Source organism: Homo sapiens, chromosome X (genome assembly GCF_000001405.40).
Source record: "Homo sapiens chromosome X, GRCh38.p14 Primary Assembly".
NCBI lineage: Eukaryota > Metazoa > Chordata > Mammalia > Primates > Hominidae > Homo > Homo sapiens.
Genome location: NC_000023.11, coordinates 69,671,201 through 69,689,124, shown reverse-complemented (window position 1 = coordinate 69,689,124; position 17,924 = coordinate 69,671,201). Strand labels below are relative to the sequence as shown.

The following is a 17,924-nucleotide window of genomic DNA, read 5'->3' as shown; positions in this document are numbered from 1 at the left end:
GCATAAGGACAGACATATAGATTAATGGAGTAGAATTGAGAGTCTAGAAATAAACGCTTACGTTTACAATCAATTGATTTTTGACAAGAGTGCCGAGAGAATTCAATAGGGGAAAAACAGTCTTCAACAAATGGTGCTGGGACAACTGGATATCCACAAGTAAAAGAATGAAGTTGGATCTACTCCTCACACCACGTATAAAAATTAAATAAAGCACGTATCATACAAGATCTTCCTTTGCTTAAAGGCCTGCCTTGCTGTTAAAATAAAATACAAACTTCTGGGCATGCCATTTACCTCTCCATAGCCTAGACCTTGCTACTTCTGCAGTTTCATCCTTTGTCACCACCTCATTATCCTCCTCTTCAATCCCTCCTCCTGGATCCTACACTCTAAGCCACTCTGAGTGACATATGTTTCTTTGGGTCAGGTGCAGTGGCTCAAACCTGTAATCCCAGCACTTCAGGAGGCCAAGATGGGCAGATCACTTGAGGCCAGGAGTTTGAGACCAGCCTGGCCAACATAGCAAAACCCCATCTCTACTAAAAATACAAAAATTAGCTGGGCATGGTGGTGCATGCCTGTAATCTCAGCTACTTGGGAGGCTGAGGCACAAGAATTGCTTGAGCCCGGGAGGTGGAGGTTGTAGTGAGTCAAGAACATGCCATTGCACTCCAGCCTGGGCGATCAAGGGAAACTCTGTCTCAAAAAAAATAAATAAAAAGCACCAGGCTTTGCTTACATATATCAGTGGAATACTATTTCTCTATACTACCTGATAAATACACCTCCATATTGCAAGGCAGTCCAAGTATCACCTCTTCTATGAAAGTTTTCACTGACATAGAGGCATATCCACATACTAATTGTCTTTTCTTTCCCCCATAGTATCCCAACACAGTTCCTCCATTGAGAATTAACACTGCCACTGTGAGGTGTATGTTGTCCTGTTCCTTGCTTCAGGAATGAGGTGCTGAGTCTCAACCAAATCCCTCAAGAAAATTACCTTTGTCCAGAAAGAACCTCTTTTTCCCAGGGCAGTGAAAATCCCTTGATAAGTCTGTGAAGAGGGTAGGGTACAAAGGCCCCCTTCAACGTGAAAGTATTCTCATTTTGCCATCCAAGCCCCAGAGCTCCTGTGAAGACTTTGTACTAACAGCTCAACTCCTTCTACTGCTCAATGCTTTCCTTCACTTCCCCACAGGAGTTGATCGGAGTGCATTCCCCAACAAACTGCTTATATTCTAACTCCATCTTAGAGTGTATTTCTCAGGGACCCTAACCTAAGACACTGTTTTACACTTACTTTTTAATAGTTCATCTTCAGATATTGACTGCATCAATGCATCCCTCAGTGCAGGTTGTACAGGCTTGCCAAAATAAAAATAAAATAAAATAAAAAATGGATCACAGACCTAAATGTAAAGGCTAAAACTATAAAACTCTTAGAAGAAAACATTAATGTATATCCTTGTGACCTTGGGTTAGGCAATACTTTCTTTAAAATGATACCTAAAGGAGAAGCCACAAAAGGAAAATTAGATAAATTGGACATTAAACTTTGCAGCATAAAAGTTTAAGAATAAACTTAACAAAAGATGGGTAGAACTTATGCTGAAAACTACAAAACACTGTTGAAAGAAAGTAAAGAAGATCTAAGTAAATGAAAAGACATCTCATGTTCATAGACTGGAGGGCTTAATATTGTTAAGATGGCAATACTCCCTTTCTTTTCCTTCACACAAATAAGAGTGAAGAAACAACTCATAGAATGAAAGACAATATTTGCAAGTTAAATATCTGATAAGAGACTCATATCCAGAATATATAAAGAACACTTACAACTAAAAAAAAAAAAAAACTACTCAATTGAAAAATGGGCAAAGGATCTGAATATACATTTCTCCAAAGGATACGTATAAGTAGCCAATGAGCACATGAAAAAATCATTAGTCTTCAGGAAAATACAAATCAAAACCACAACTGAAATATCACTTCAAATTCACTAGGAAGAATATAATAAAAAATAGACAATAACAAGTGTAGACAAGGATGAAGAGTAATTGGAACCCTCATATGTTGCTTGTGGAAATGTAATATGGTGCAGCCACTTTGGAAAACAGTCTGGAAGTTCCTCAAAAAGTTCAACAGAGAGTTACCATATGACCCAGCAATTCCACTTGTAGGTATATACTCAAGAGAATTGAAAACAAATGTTTACACAAAAACATGTACACAAATATTGAGAGCAGCATTATTCACAACAGGCAAAAAATGGAAACAACCTAATGTCCATCCATTGATGAATAGATAAATGTAATATAACTATATAATAGAATATCATTCAACCATAAAAAGAATGAAATACAGGATTCATATGGATGAATCCTGAAAATATTATGCTAAGTGAAAAAGCCAGTCATAAAAGATTATACATTATATGATTCCACTTAAATGAAATGTCCAGAATGGTCAAATCTATAGAGACAGAAAGTAGATATATGATTCCTAGGGGCTGGAAGAGGAGAGGGTTCAGGAAAAATGGGTAGTGACTACTTATAGGTACAGGGTTTCCTTTTGTGTCTCTAAAATTGATTATGATAATAGTTGCACAACTCTGTGAATGTACTAAAAACCAATGAATTAGCACTTGAAATGGGTGAAGTATATGGTATCTAAACTATATCTTAATAAAGCTGTTATCTTAAAAAATAGTGGTGCAAAAACTGTTGGTGCCTTGCATGGATTAAGGCAGGGACACCAACCTATATTAGTGGCCATTGTATTCTTTACCATCATGCATTTTCAGAGAAAGAAATGCCATTTCAGGCTGGGCGCGGTGGCTCATGCCTATAATCCCAACACTTTGGGAGGCCAAGGTGGGCGGATTACCTGAGCTCAGGATTTGGCCAACATGGTGAAACCCTGTCTCAATTAAAAATATAAAAATTAGCCAAGCATGGTGGCGGATGCCTGTAATCCCAGCTACTCGGGAGGCTGAGGTAGGAGAATCGCTTGAACCTGGGAGGCGGAGGTTGCAGTGAGCCGAGTTCGTGCCTCTGCACTCCAGCCTGGGCAACAAGGGCAAGACTCTGTCTCAAAACAAAAAAGAAAAGAAAAGAAAAGAAAGACATGCCATTTCACTTAAGAATGTTCTTGATGAAGTAGAAATTATTGTTTGTAAAATGCTATTTATGTTATTTATGTTAACATGCATTGGTTTTTATTTTTAAATCAATTAGTAAATTCTAAATGCTATTTGTTGAGATTATAAGGAACTTGTAATGCTGCATAACATACTACATTTATATAACATATCACATCCTTCTGAACTGACTTTAGTTTGGCTGTGTAGTTTGTAGAGGTTAACAACTCTTAATCTGCATTAGGAACAAATAAAAACCCTTTTCTGCCTTTATCAAGAGGGTAAAATGGACACAAAAATATTTGGATGTGGGGGACTAGAAACCTATTTATCTTGTTCTTTAAAAGAAAGAAAAATTCTTCCTAAAATATTTTGCTTAAGGTATTAAATTTTAAAATCTATTTCACTATAATGTATATTACACAATATGTTACATGATGATCCAAGATGCTGGTTTTAAATGTCATAGTTCACTCAAGTTTTGAAATTATCCTTCCAAATTATCTGGTTCCTAAATCTATTCATTCAAATATTTATTGTACTAGTTTCTATATCATAAAGGCCCAGATATTATCAGCTAATAAAATAAAATACAAAATCTAAATAAATGTTCCCATGAAATCATTTGCTGTAATCTCACTGCAACACAAAAGATATTTGCTAACTGGCTCCAAGGGAGAACAAAAAATTAGTTGAATAATTTATTTCAAATATAAGAGCTGTTTAGTATTACAGTACTTTTAAAATTAAATTTAAGTTTTCTCCATTATTCAGAAACATATCAGTTATAAATGATTCCATTTCAGGAAATTTTCTTGGCTCTCGATCTCTCCCTGGGTAGCCATTGAAAGACTTTTAGGAAGATGAAAGTTTTCAGAATAAAGTTAAACAAGTAATGAATACTTCCAGACTATTAGTCACTTCTATGTTCTGGCACCCATATATAAATGAAATAAAACAAAACAAAGACATTTAAAATGGAAAACCTTCAAAACTAAAGTCTTCTCATCTTCACTACCAAAGCTAAACAGCTCCAACTTCTTATCCAGTTTCATTCAAGCTAAGATTCTCTCAGCATTCTGGTGGGCAGAGATATACAGCTATACAGCATCTAATAAAATTCCAGGCCACAGTCACTGAATAAATAAGCAAAGCTAAACAAATGGCATTCCTTATCAAATAAACACTAACATGATTGAGCATACAGCATTTCAATCAGTCAACATCTGTTTTATAATCGTATTTCCTGTTTTATAAATGTAGTGTGAATGAACAATTCATTTTCATAGATTTACTGCCTCATGTTGCCTTACCATTGCATTTCAATTCTAGTTAGAGAGGCTTGAACAGAAAGGTATATATTGAATGAAGGAAAATCTTGATTGTAACTCAGGAAGGAGTTAGTCGAGTTGTCCTGCTAGTTCAGGGTTTATTACTTTATACACAACACCATTTTAAATTTAATCTTTTGGATGGAAATCTAAACACTCAATACTCATTGCTTATCTTCACAAATAGAACATAGTAGATGATCACAATTTAATTGTTTTTTTGATGAATTTGGGTCATTATTATGAACATCAATTACTGAGCTATATTATAACATGTTGATGCCCTCAAGACTTATTTAAGTCATATAGGGCTATTAGACCCACACTGCTATGAGTTCCTGGTTTGTTTTTCGGTTTTTCTGTCTCCTTCCTTAGAGTCAGCTGTCTCTCCCTCCTACTATTCGATGAGCCTTGTTAACATTTCTAAATGGCCTCTCCACAGCTGTTGGCGAGGAAATATGATAATCATGATTAAAGCATAATGATGAGTAAATAAATTATAAGCGAGTATCTCAGAATCTTACACTATGTAACATGCATGAGCTTAAGTGCATGGATCTTGTGACACACACTTTATCTGCACAAAGCCTTTTTTCATCTGAGTTCTTAGGTGATGTACTAGATCATTGAATTCCAGCTGTATATTGCTATATTTGATAAACCTTCCCCTTTAGGATCATATATGCAGGACAATTTCATAATCTGGTATAAGGTCCTTAGGTAGTTAAAACAAGATTTAAGACAAATCTATTTTTTCTGCAACTGCAGATAAAAAAGCATAGTCTTTCTAAGCTTGAACACTTAGGATACCTAAGAAATAAATTGCACAGAGATTTAATACCTTGGAAGTATGACTTAGAAATCTGAAAATTTGTATACAACTAAGTATATAAATAGTAAAACAGATTCAGTTCAATCAGCAAATGTCTATTGAGCATCTACCATGTTCAAGGCATTATACTAGCATCACAAGGGATATAAAATGAGTAAGACACAGTCTGCCGTTTAAGAACTTAATATCTAGTAAGCGAGATTAGATAAAAATGACTAAGATGAAAGGCAAATAAATGTAATAGATGTAAGAAAACCATAAGTAAGTTATTATGGGAATTCAAAGAAATGAGAGATTAAACTTAGCTTGGGGAGAAAGATCAGAAAATCATGAAGTATTCCATGGAATACATGGCATTCATAATAAGCCTTGTAGTTTGGACAGGTTCTTGAGAGAAGAGAGTAGGGGGAAGAGACAGCAGTAGTAGTCATCTTGGGCTAAGGAAACTGCAATTGTTCATTTCACAAATATTTACTGAGCATTTATTATTATTATATGCCAGGCACTGTTGTAGGCAATAGGGATAGAACAGTAAACAAAGCAGATAAAAATCCCTGCCCTCACAGACCTGATATTACAGTGGGGAGAGAAAGAGACAATAAGAATAGTAACGATAATAACAACAATGACAGCCAAGACATTAGAGTACTTAACATGTTGGTCAGGCACTGTTTTTGTGTTTTAAATATAAACCCCTTTAATCCTCAAAACACCTCTATGAAGTAGACTGGTATTAATATTATCCCTATTTTAGAGATAGAAAACTAAGATATAGTGGTCAAACTGTCCAAAGGCACAATGAGAAATGAAATTATGATTCAAACCTGGGGTATCCAGCTACAGAGGTTTATATTCTTAACCATTATGTGATTCCAAATAAGCATCATCTATAACGTATTGCATGTTGATAAACACTAAACTCAAGGAGCAGCAAGTCACTTTATTTGGAAGATATAAGAGAACAGCAGGGGGGAGGAGCCAAGATGGCCAAATAGGAACAGCTCCGGTCTACAGCTCCCAGGGAGAGTGAGGCAGAAGATGGGTGATTTCTGCGTTTCCATCTGACATACCGGGTTCATCTCACTAGGGAGTGCCAGACAGTGGGCATAGGTCAGTGGGTGCGTGAACCGTGTGCGAGCCGAAGCAGGGCGAGGCATTGCCTCACTCGGGAAGCCCAAGGGGTCAGGGAGTTCCCTTTCCTAGTCAAAGAAAGGAGTGACAGACGGCACCTGGAAAATCGGGTCACTCCCACCCGAATACTGCGCATTTCCGAGGGGCTTAAAAAACGGCGCACGAGGAGATTATATCCCACACCTGGCTTGGAGTGTCCTACGTCCACGGAGTCTCGCTGATTGATAGCACAGCAGTCTGAGATCAAACTGCAAGGTGGCAGCGAGGCTGGGGGAGGGGCGCCCGCCATTGCCCAGGCTTGCTTAGGTGAACAAAGCAGACTGGAAGCTCCAACTGGGTGGAGCCCACCACAGCTCAAGGAGGCCTGCCTGCCTCTGTAGGCTCCACCTCTGGGGGCAGGGCACAGACAAACAAAAAGACAGCAGTAACCTCTGCAGACTTAAATGCCCCTGTCTGACAGCTTTGAAGAGAGCAGTGGTTCTCCCAGCACGCAGCTGGAGATCTGAGAACAGGCAGACTGCCTCCACAAGCGGGTCCCTGACCCCTGACCCCTGAGCAGCCTAACTGGGAGGCACCCCCAGCAGGGGCAGACTGACACCTCACACGGCCAGGTACTCCAACAGACCTGCAGCTGAGGGTCCTGTCTGTTAGAAGGAAAACTAACAAACAGAAAGGACATCCACACCAAAAACCCATCTGTACATCACGATCATCAAAGACCAAAAGTAGATAAAACCACAAAGATGGGGAAAAAACAGAGCAGAAAAACTGGAAACTCTAAAAAGCACAGCGCCTCTCCTCCTCCAAAGGAACACAGTTCCTCACCAGCAACGGAACAAAGCCGGACGGAGAATGACTTTGACGAGCTGAGAGAAGAAGGCTTCAGACGATCAAATTACTCCGAGCTACAGGAGGACATTCAAAACAAAGGCAAAGAAGTTGAAAACTTTGAAAAAAATTTAGAAGAATGTATAACTAGAATAACCAATACAGAGAAGTGCTTAAAGGAGCTGATGGAGCTGAAAACCAAGGCTCGAGAACTACGTGAAGAATGCAGAAGCCTCAGGAGCCGATGCGATCAACTGGAAGAAAGGGTATCAATGATGGAAGATGAAATGAATGAAATTAAGCGAGAAGGGAAGTTTAGAGAAAAAAGAATAAAAAGAAACGAGCAAAGCCTCCAAGAAATATGGGACTATGTGAAAAGACCAAATCTACATCTGATTGGTGTACCTGAAAGTGACGGGGAGAATGGACCCAAGTTGGAAAACACTCTGCAGGATATTATCCAGGAGAACTTCCCCAATCTAGCAAAGCAGGCCAACGTTCAGATTCAGGAAATACAGAGAACGCCACAAAGATACTCCTCGAGAAGAGCAACTCCAAGACACATAATTGTCAGATTCACCAAAGTTGAAATGAAGGAAAAAATGTTAAGGGCAACCAGAGAGAAAGGTCGGGTTACCCTCAAAGGGAAGCCCATCAGACTAACAGCAGATCTCTCCGCAGAAACTCTACAAGCCAGAAGAGAGTGGGGGCCAATATTCAACATTCTTAAAGAAAAGAATCTTCAACCCAGAATTTCATATCCAGCCAAACTAAGCTTCATAAGTGAAGGAGAAATAAAATACTTTACACACAAGCAAATGCTGAGAGATTTTGTCACCACCAGGCCTGCCCTAAAAGAGCTCCTGAAGGAAGCGCTAAACATGGAAAGGAACAACCGGTACCAGCCGCTGCAAAATCATGCCAAATTGTAAAGACCATCGAGACTAGGAAGAAACTGCATCAACTAACAAGCAAAATAACCAGCTAACATCATAATGACAGGATCAAATTCACACATAACAGTATTAACTTTAAATGTAAATGGACTAAATGCTCCAATTAAAAGACACAGACTGGCAAATTGGATAAAGAGTCAAGACCCATCAGTTTGCTGTATTCAGGAAACCCATCTCACGTGCAGAGACACACATAGGCTCAAAATAAAAGGATGGAGGAAGATCTACCAAGCAAATGGAAAACAAAAAAAGGCAGGGGTTGCAATCCTAGTCTCTGATAAAACAGACTTTAAACCAACAAAGATCAAAAGAGACAAAGAAGGCCATTACATAATGGTCAAGGGATCAATTCAACAAGAAGAGCTAACTATCCTAAATATATATGCACCCAATACAGGAGCACCCAGATTCACAAAGCAAGTCCTGAGTGACCTACAAAGAGACTTAGACTCCCACACATTAATAATGGGAGACTTTAACACCCCACTGTCAACATTAGACAGATCAACAAGACAGAAAGTCAACAAGGATACCCAGGAATTGAACTCAGCTCTGCACCAAGCAGACTTAATAGACATCTACAGAACTCTCCACCCCAAATCAACAGAATATACATTCTTTTCAGCACCACACCACACCTATTACAAAATTGACCACATACTTGGAAGTAAAGCTCTCCTCAGCAAATGTAAAAGAACAGAAATTATAACAAACTATCTCTCAGACCACAGTGCAATCAAACTAGAACTCAGGATTCAGAAACTCACTCAAAACCGCTCAACTACATGGAAACTGAACAACCTGCTCCTGAATGACTACTGGGTACACAACGAAATGAAGGCAGAAATAAAGATGATCTTTGAAACCAATGAGAACAAAGACACAACATACCAGAATCTCTGGGACGCATTCAAAGCAGTGTGTAGAGGGAAATTTATAGCACTAAATGCCCACAAGAGAAAGCAGGAAAGATCCAAAATTGACACCCTAACATCACAATTAAAAGAACTAGAAAAGCAAGAGCAAACACATTCAAAAGCTAGCAGAAGGCAAGAAATAACTAAAATCAGAGCAGAACTGAAGGAAATAGAGACACAAAAAACCCTTCAAAAAATTAAAGAATCCAGGAGCTGGGTTTTTGAAAAGATCAACAAAATTGATAAACCGCTAGCAAGACTAATAAAGAAAAAAAGAGAGAAGAATCAAATAGACGCAATAAAAAATGATAAAGAGGATATCACCACCGATCCCACAGAAATACAAACTACCATCAGAGAATACGACAAACACCTCTACACAAATACACTAGAAAATCTAGAAGAAATGGATAAATTCCTCTACACATACACCCTCCCAAGACTAAACAAGGAAGATGTTGAATCTCTGAATAGACCAATAACAGGATCTGAAATTGTGGCAATAATCAATAGCTTACCAACCCAAGAGTCCAGGACCAGATGGATTCACAGCCGAATTCTACCAGAGGTACGAGGAGGAACTCGTACCATTCCTTCTGAAACTATTCCAATCAATAGAAAAAGAGGGAATCCTCCCTAACTCATTTTATGAGGCCAGCATCATCCTGATACAAAAGCCGGGCAGAGACACAACCAAAAAAGAGAATTTTAGACCAATATCCTTGATGAACATCGATGCAAAAATCCTCAATAAAATACTGGCAAACCGAATCCAGCAGCACATCAAAAAGCTTATCCACCATGATCAAGTGGGCTTCATCCCTGGGATGCAAGGCCGGTTCAATATACGCAAATCAATAAACGTAATCCAGCATATAAACAGAACCAAAGACAAAAACCACATGATTATTTCAATAGATGCAGAAAACGCCTTTGACAAAATTCAACAACCCTTCATGCTAAAAACTCTCAATAAATTAGGTATTGATGGGACGTATTTCAAAATAATAAGAGCTATCTATGACAAACCCACAGCCAATATCATACTGAATGGGCAAAAACTGGAAGCATTCCCTTTGAAAACTGGCACAAGACAGGGATGCCCTCTCACCACTCCTATTCAACATAGTGTTGGAAGTTCTGGCCTAGGGCAATTAGGCAGGAAAAGGAAATAAAGGGTATTCAATTAGGAAAAGAGGAAGTCAAATTGTCCCTGTTTGCAGACGACATGATTGTATATGTAGAAAACCCCATTGTCTCAGCCCAAAATCTCCTTAAGCTGATAAGCAACTTCAGCAAAGTCTCAGGATACAAAATCAATGTACAAAAATCACAAGCATTCTTATACACCAACAACAGACAAACAGAGAGCCAAATCGTGAGTGAACTCCCATTCACAATTGCTACAAAGAGAATAAAATACCTAGGAATCCAACTTACAAGGGTTGTGAAGGACCTCTTCAAGGAGAACTACAAACCACTGCTCAAGGAAATAAAAGAGGATACAAACAAATGGAAGAACATTACATGCTTATGGGTAGGAAGAATCAATATCGTGAAAATGGCCATACTGTCCAAGGTAATTTACAGATTCAATGTCATCCCCATCAAGCTACCAATGACTTTCTTCACAGTATTGGAAAAAACTACTTTAAAGTTCATATGGAACCAAAAAAGAGCCCGCATCACCAAGTCAATCCTAAGCCAAAAGAACAAAGCTGGAGGCATCACACTACCTGACTTCAAACTATACTACAAGGCTACAGTAACCAAAACAGCATGGTACTGGTACCAAAACAGAGATATAGATCAATGGAACAGAACAGAGCCCTCAGGAATAACGTCGCATATCTACAACTATCTGATCTTTGACAAACCTGACAAAAACAAGCAATGGGGAAAGGATTCCCTATTTAATAAATGGTGCTGGGAAAACTGGCTAGCCATATGTAGAAAGCTGAAACTGGGTCCCTTCCTTACACCTTATACAAAAATCAATTCAAGATGGATTAAAGACTTAAATGTTAGACCTAAAACCATAAAAACCCTAGAAGAAAACCTAGGCTTTACCATTCAGGACATAGGCATGGGCAAGGACTTCATGTCTAAAACACCAAAAGCAATGGCAACAAAAGCCAAAATTGACAAATGGGATCTAATTAAACTAAAGAGCTGCACAGCAAAAGAAACTACCATCAGAGTGAACAGGCAACCTACAGAATGGGAGAAAATTTTCACAACCTACTCATCTGACAAAGGGCTAACATCCAGAATCTACAATGAACTCAAACAAATTTACAAGAAAAAAACAACCCCATCAAAAAGTGGGCAAAGGACATGAACAGACACTTCTCAAAAGAAGACATTTATGCAGCCAAAAAACACATGAAAAATGCTCACCATCACTGGCCATCAGAGAAATGCAAATCAAAACCACAACGAGATACCATCTCACACCAGTTAGAATGGCGATCATTAAAAAGTCAGGAAACAACAGGTGCTGGAGAGGATGTGGAGAAATAGGAACACTTTTACACTGTTGGTGGGACTGCAAACTAGTTCAACCATTGTGGAAGTCAGTGTGGCGATTCCTCAGGGATCTAGAACTAGAAATGCCATTTGAACCAGCCATCCCATTACTGGGTATATACCCAAAGGACTATAAATCATGCTGCTATAAAGACACATGCACACGTATGTTTATTGCGGCATTATTCACAATAGCAAAGACTTGGAACCAATCCAAATGTCCAACAATGATAGACTGGATTAAGAAAATGTGGCACATATACACCATGGAATACTATGCAGCCATAAAAAAGGATGAGTTCATGTCCTTTGTAGGGACATGGATGAAATTGGAAATCATCATTCTCAGTAAACTATCGCAAGAACAAAAAACCAAACACCGCATATTCTCACTCATAGGTGGGAATTGAACAATGAGAACACATGGACACAGGAAGGGGAACATCACACTCTGGGGCCAGTTGTGGGGTGGGGGGAGGGGGGAGGGATAGCATTGGGAGATATACCTAATGCTAGATGACGAGTTAGTGGGTGCAGCGCACCAGCATGGCACATGTATACATATGTAACTAACCTGCACATTGTGCACATGTACCCTAAAACTTAAAGTGTAATAATAAAAAAAAGAAAACAGCAAAGGATAAAGCCAAATAAATAGGTTGGGCTCATATTATGGAGGGCCTTGAATCCAAGACAGGGGAGTCCACCTACTGAATTAAGTGCAATGGGAAACCACTGAAGATATGATTAGTGCCTCACTTTATAAAGGGTGAACTGGAGTGAGAAGAGAGGCTGGAAGAGGAGATCTGATTCACCACTGAACATTTATCAAGATTATTGATACAGCCCAGGTGAAAATTAAGTATGGTATAGAACAGAATAAAATATATATTGAGAGTCCAAGAAATTAGAGATTACACACACACACACACACAAGCACACGTGCGCGCGCGCACACACACACACACACAGAAAAACTCATTCTTCCATTTGAGGCCAAAATCTCAAAGACATCCTTGACTTCCCTGTTTCCTCTCACATGCCACGTTCAATCAACAGTAAATTCAGAATCCAACAATCTTTTACCACTTTCACCACCACTACTCTGGTCCAAGCCATCAGCTCTCACCTAACTTACTGCAATAGCCCCCTTACTTACTTCCTGCTTCTACCCTTGCCCTGCTACAGTCTAGTCTCAACCCAGCAGCTAAAGTTTTCCTACCAATAAAATAGGTCAAATCAGGTAACCCCTTTGCTCAAGCCCCTCCATTGGTTTCCTATTTCACTCATAACACAAAGCCAAAGTCTTTACAATGACCTACAAAGCCCTACATGATCTGTTCCTCTCCTCTTACCTCTCTGACCTCACCTCTATTACTCTTCCTTTTACTCATTCTGCTTCAGTCACAATGGCCATGTTGCTATTTCTGGAACACTCATGTTCTCCCCCATCTGAGGGCCTTTACATTTGCTACTTCTTCTGCCTGGAATGCTCCCTTATCCTCTCCCATATTTGCCTGGCTCTTTCCTGACTGCCTCCAGATCTTTGCTCAAATATCACCTTCTCAGTTAGCTTCCCTGGACTACCCAATTTTAAAATGTGCACATATACATACACATCCTGTCTTGACCTTCTCTCTCCAACTTCCCTAATTTTTCTCCATATAACTTTGTATTATCTGACATTCTATGTATTTTACTTATCTGCTTGTGTGTCTTCCTCCACTAGACTATTGGCTCTGTGAGGGCCAGAATTTTTGTCTGTTATGTTCACTGCTATATCTTTGGTTCCATAAATAGTACCTGGTAGATGGTAGTTCTTAATAAATATTTGTTAAATAAATGAATGAATCAATTAAGAAAAAAAATTTGAAAAAAAATTAGGGACAGTGAATTCATATAGCAGGGCAACTAATGGAATAGGTGGAGCAAAAGAGGAGGAAGGATCAAAATGTCTCCATGGTGTCCAGATTTTAGGAATGGCAACAGCATTATCAGAAATGGAATAGTTACAGGGAACTGATTTGGAGGGTGGAAATTAATTCATTTTTAGACACGATGAGTATACAATATTGAACACTAATGGGAGATCAAGAAATGAAATGCAAATCTGAAGCTTAAGAATGAAGTCAGGGCTAGATATAATAATTTGGGAGTTACTAAAATATATAGAGAAACCAGGCATGGAGGCTCATGCCTATAATCCCTGCACCTTGGGAGGCTGAGGAGGGCAGATTGCTTCAGCCTGGGAGATTGAGACCAGCCTGGGCAATACAGCAACACCTCATCTCTACAATTTTTTTTAATTAGCTGGCCATGGTGGCATGTGCTTTTGGTCCCAGCTACTCAGGAGGCTGAGGTGGGAGGATCTCTTGGGCCTGGAGGTCAATGCTTCAATGAGCCAAGGTCACACCACTACACTGCAGCTTGGTCAACAAAGCAAGACACTGTTTCAAAAAAGAAAAAAATAAAACAGAGATAATAGTGTTGGAGGGGACAGGACAGAACCTTGGGAAAGGTTACACTTCAGAGGTTCAAGGAAGGACATCAGTCAGGGAGGCAACAAGAGAACCAAAATAATGACATGTCATGAAGCCAAGAGAGTAGAAGGTGGTAGTAAATTAGTATTAAACGTTACAAGAAAAGTCAAGAAGGTTCTTAAAGCTCAAAACAAACAGGCTGATTTGGCAAATAGGAAGCCATTGGAAGAAGTATTTCTTTGAAGTGGTAGAGGAAGGAGCCAAATTCCAAGCCACTTAGGAAGGAGTCAGGACATGAAGGCAAAAGGTATTCAATTCTTTCAACAAGCTCACCAGAATGAAAATACTCACTTTTGCCCAGTAATCCCACTCCCTGGAATTTAACTTTTAAAAAATTGTTCCATGAAAGAATAATATCAAGCAAATACATTAATGCTAAAGGTTGTACATTACATTGTTGTTGGTAATAGTAAATGATTGTAAAATACTTGAAATGTCCAACTACAAAAAGTAGTGATTTATGATCTATTAAAACAATAAAATACTTTTTGAATATAATAAAGTCTGAAGAAAAAGGGAAATACTTATGTTAAATAGAAAAAATCAAAATACAAATTTAAAATATACACCATTTATTCATTTCACATTTGATTATGGAGTCCCTCCTATGTGATAGGCATATATACTAGCTATATAGTGGCAGACAAAATAGACAGACCTTCTACCCTCATAAGACTTAACAGTTTGTGATTCAAACTATGGGGAAAAAAAGGTACATATGTAACAGAGAAAAGTATACCCCAAATAACAAAAGCTATGTATTATGATGATAGATAGATAGATAGATAGATAGATAGATAGATAGATAGATAGGCTTTTCCTACAATATTGTTCAATAAAAATTAGCTGTTTTCAATAAATAAAGAGAAAAGTAAATATTTATAGCAAGGAAAGGAAGAAGAGAGTTGAGAGGTAGCTTGACGGGGCAGCAGGGTTCCAGGAAATGTTTTTTAGATGAGGGAATGTGACCATGTCCAAAGACAAAGGGGATAGCAAAGAGGCAGAGATTGAAAATTCCACATCTTTCTTACTGCAACAGCTAATTTAATATATCCACTCTGAGAGCTCTTCAAATTCCTTGGAGAATAGACTTTGAATAGCCTAGAATAGCTGTCCTAGAGCTGACATTTAAACATGTCTCTTGTGAACACTAATAAAGACCCCATCCTCCACCTAAGGCAAAGCTTGATTCAGACAATAAATTTCATAGTAAAACTGATCATGGAGGAAATAGTTACCGAACATTATTAGATCTCATGAATTGATTCAGACTATAGAATATATTCACCTCACACCAATAACTTTGCTTCTAAATGATTTTTTTTTTTTGAATACAGTAAAATTGCCTGGGTGTAGGATGTATTTTTGTTACCATCTAAAAGGAAGATAAATTCATGAAAGTGTGGTATAGCATACCGAATATGCTGACCTTTCCGTTCCTTAACTTCTTCATCTCCAATGACCTCATCCTTCCATTCCATATGAGCCACTCACTCTGTACACCTTGGAAGTTTCCATCACCCTTTCCTACTCCATCTCCAAAATCACTAATTCAAACATGAAATTCTCGATCACAAACTTCCAGCTTTGCTGGTTCAACTATTCCTACTATCACTATTCTTTCAGGTCATCAAGACCTCTAGTTTACTGACCCTTCTTCCTCTACTTTCTCCCTATTAATCAAAATTTTCTTCACTTCCTTCCCTATCCAGCTTAGGTTCCATAATGTATCAATGCTGTTACACTCTTGCCAAAACCACAAAACCTCTGAACTCACTATGATGATGTTATTGTTATTGATAATGATAATGATGTTTTTGTACTCATCTAGGCCAAATTCTAACCATTGATCATTCCTACCGTTCACTTTCTCTGTGCTTATCTCCAGTAGCCAAGTTATAGGGCAAAGTAACAAAACAGGCAGATGTGTTTCAATACATAAAATAAAAATCACTTGCAGCAGACTCCTGAAATCTGCTCACCAATCTTGCTGTGGTTTTCTTTTTCACTTTCTGCCACTTTTTTTTTTTTTTTGAGACGTTGTCTCACTCTGTCGCCCAGGCTGGAGTGCAGTGGCGCAATCTCGGCTCACTGCAAGCTCTGCCTCCCGGGTTCATGCCATTCTCCTGCCTCAGCCTCCTCAGAAGCTGGGACTACAGGTGCCCACCACCACGCCCGGCTAATTTTTTTGAATTTTTAGTAGAGACGGGGTTTCACCATGTTAGCCAAAATGGTATCGATCTCCTGACCTCGTGATCCGCCCGCCTCGGCCTCCCAAAGTGCTGGCATTACAGGCGTGAGCCACCACGCCCGGCCAAAGCCTACAGCACCCGGTATTCCCAGGTGGTCTCCCATCCAAGTACTAACCAGGCCCGACCCTGCTTAGCTTCCAAGATCAGACGAGATCAGGCTCATTCAGGGTGGTATGGCCGTAGACTCTGCCATAACTTTTAAAAATTCTCCAATCTTCTCAATCCTCCAGAGCACTATTCCCCAGCTCCACCCTTTTCAGAAAATGACCTTGCCTCTTACTTCATAAAGGAAATGGACCATTTGCTTTTTGGGGCTCATACACAGCAGGTACTCAAATGTGATAAATGGATAAAAAGAAAAATATGAAATGGAGAAAAACCTGGCATGGTAACCTTAAACAAAACCTCAGGTTTCCCATTTAAAAACATGGTAGGTGTATAACATGACCTAAGTCCCCCCCACAACTCTAAAACTTACATTCACATATCCAGACCTATGAATGCAAACTATACAGGGAAGAATTTTCTCAAAAGTGAACAAGCAGTAGTCAGGAAATACCATTTTATGCCCATCTTACCAATTGGCAGAAGTGCTATTATTCACTGTTCAATAAATAAATATTTACTGAGTTCCTTCAATGTATTAGGATTTACGGGCAAAAATAGGGGATATTTAAGACCTGGTCTTTGGCTTCATGGAGCTTTCAATCTACTAGGAGAATAAAAACTTTATATAAGTGTCTCTAATAGGTGACACATGGAGTTTCTTTTGAAAAGACTAGTGATTGAGAGGAAAAAAAGAATGACATTAGCAAGATGGCCAAAGAGAAGTTCCCAGTACTGTTTTGTCTACCACACACACATAAAAACAAAACAATGAATAAATGACTACATTTTTGACAGAAATGACTAAAGGAGAGCACCAGAGAACATCAAAGAAGCAGCAGAAAACCTATAGAGCACACAAACCCAGGATGGCTGCTTAGGGAAGGGAAAGAAACACCTTGCCTCTGCCACCCTATTCCCCCATTCAGAATCAGCTTGGAACCAGCTTGGAATTAGCTGGTCAGAACCACAGCTATATCACAGTCCCCTGGACCCAACCTTCTGAAGTGTGCCACAGAGCAACAGTCCCTGGTTAGTGGGAAAACTGCAGTCATTCATGCCTTGGAGAGTGAACATATGCCTCAAGTTTTGTGTGCTACCATAGTTTCACAAGACCCTGCACCCAGGAAATCACCTTCACAGCTGCTCTGAGCACCTGTGCCCTGGATCTAAGTACCACTGTGGCTGCCTATTGGCCATGTCAGATCTGACACCAACACAGATACCCACAGCTCAGACACCCCACTGTGGGAAAAGTAAGACCAGGAGGATCCCTAAAGCTGTTGCCCTAATAACCTATGAAGCCACCATCACTGCAACAAACTCCAGTAGCCTAGACTACTGAGGCTTCTGCAGTC

General features: G+C 39.2%; 1 protein-coding gene and 1 pseudogene across 8 annotated transcripts in view; both read right to left on the bottom strand.

The window, feature by feature from the left end:
- EDA (ectodysplasin A) overlaps positions 1–17,924 on the bottom strand; it is a 423,360-nt gene that overhangs the window by 350,348 nt on the left and 55,088 nt on the right. The gene's annotated exons all lie outside the window — the stretch shown is intronic.
- On the bottom strand, positions 16,528–16,646 carry RNA5SP506 (RNA, 5S ribosomal pseudogene 506; annotated as a pseudogene).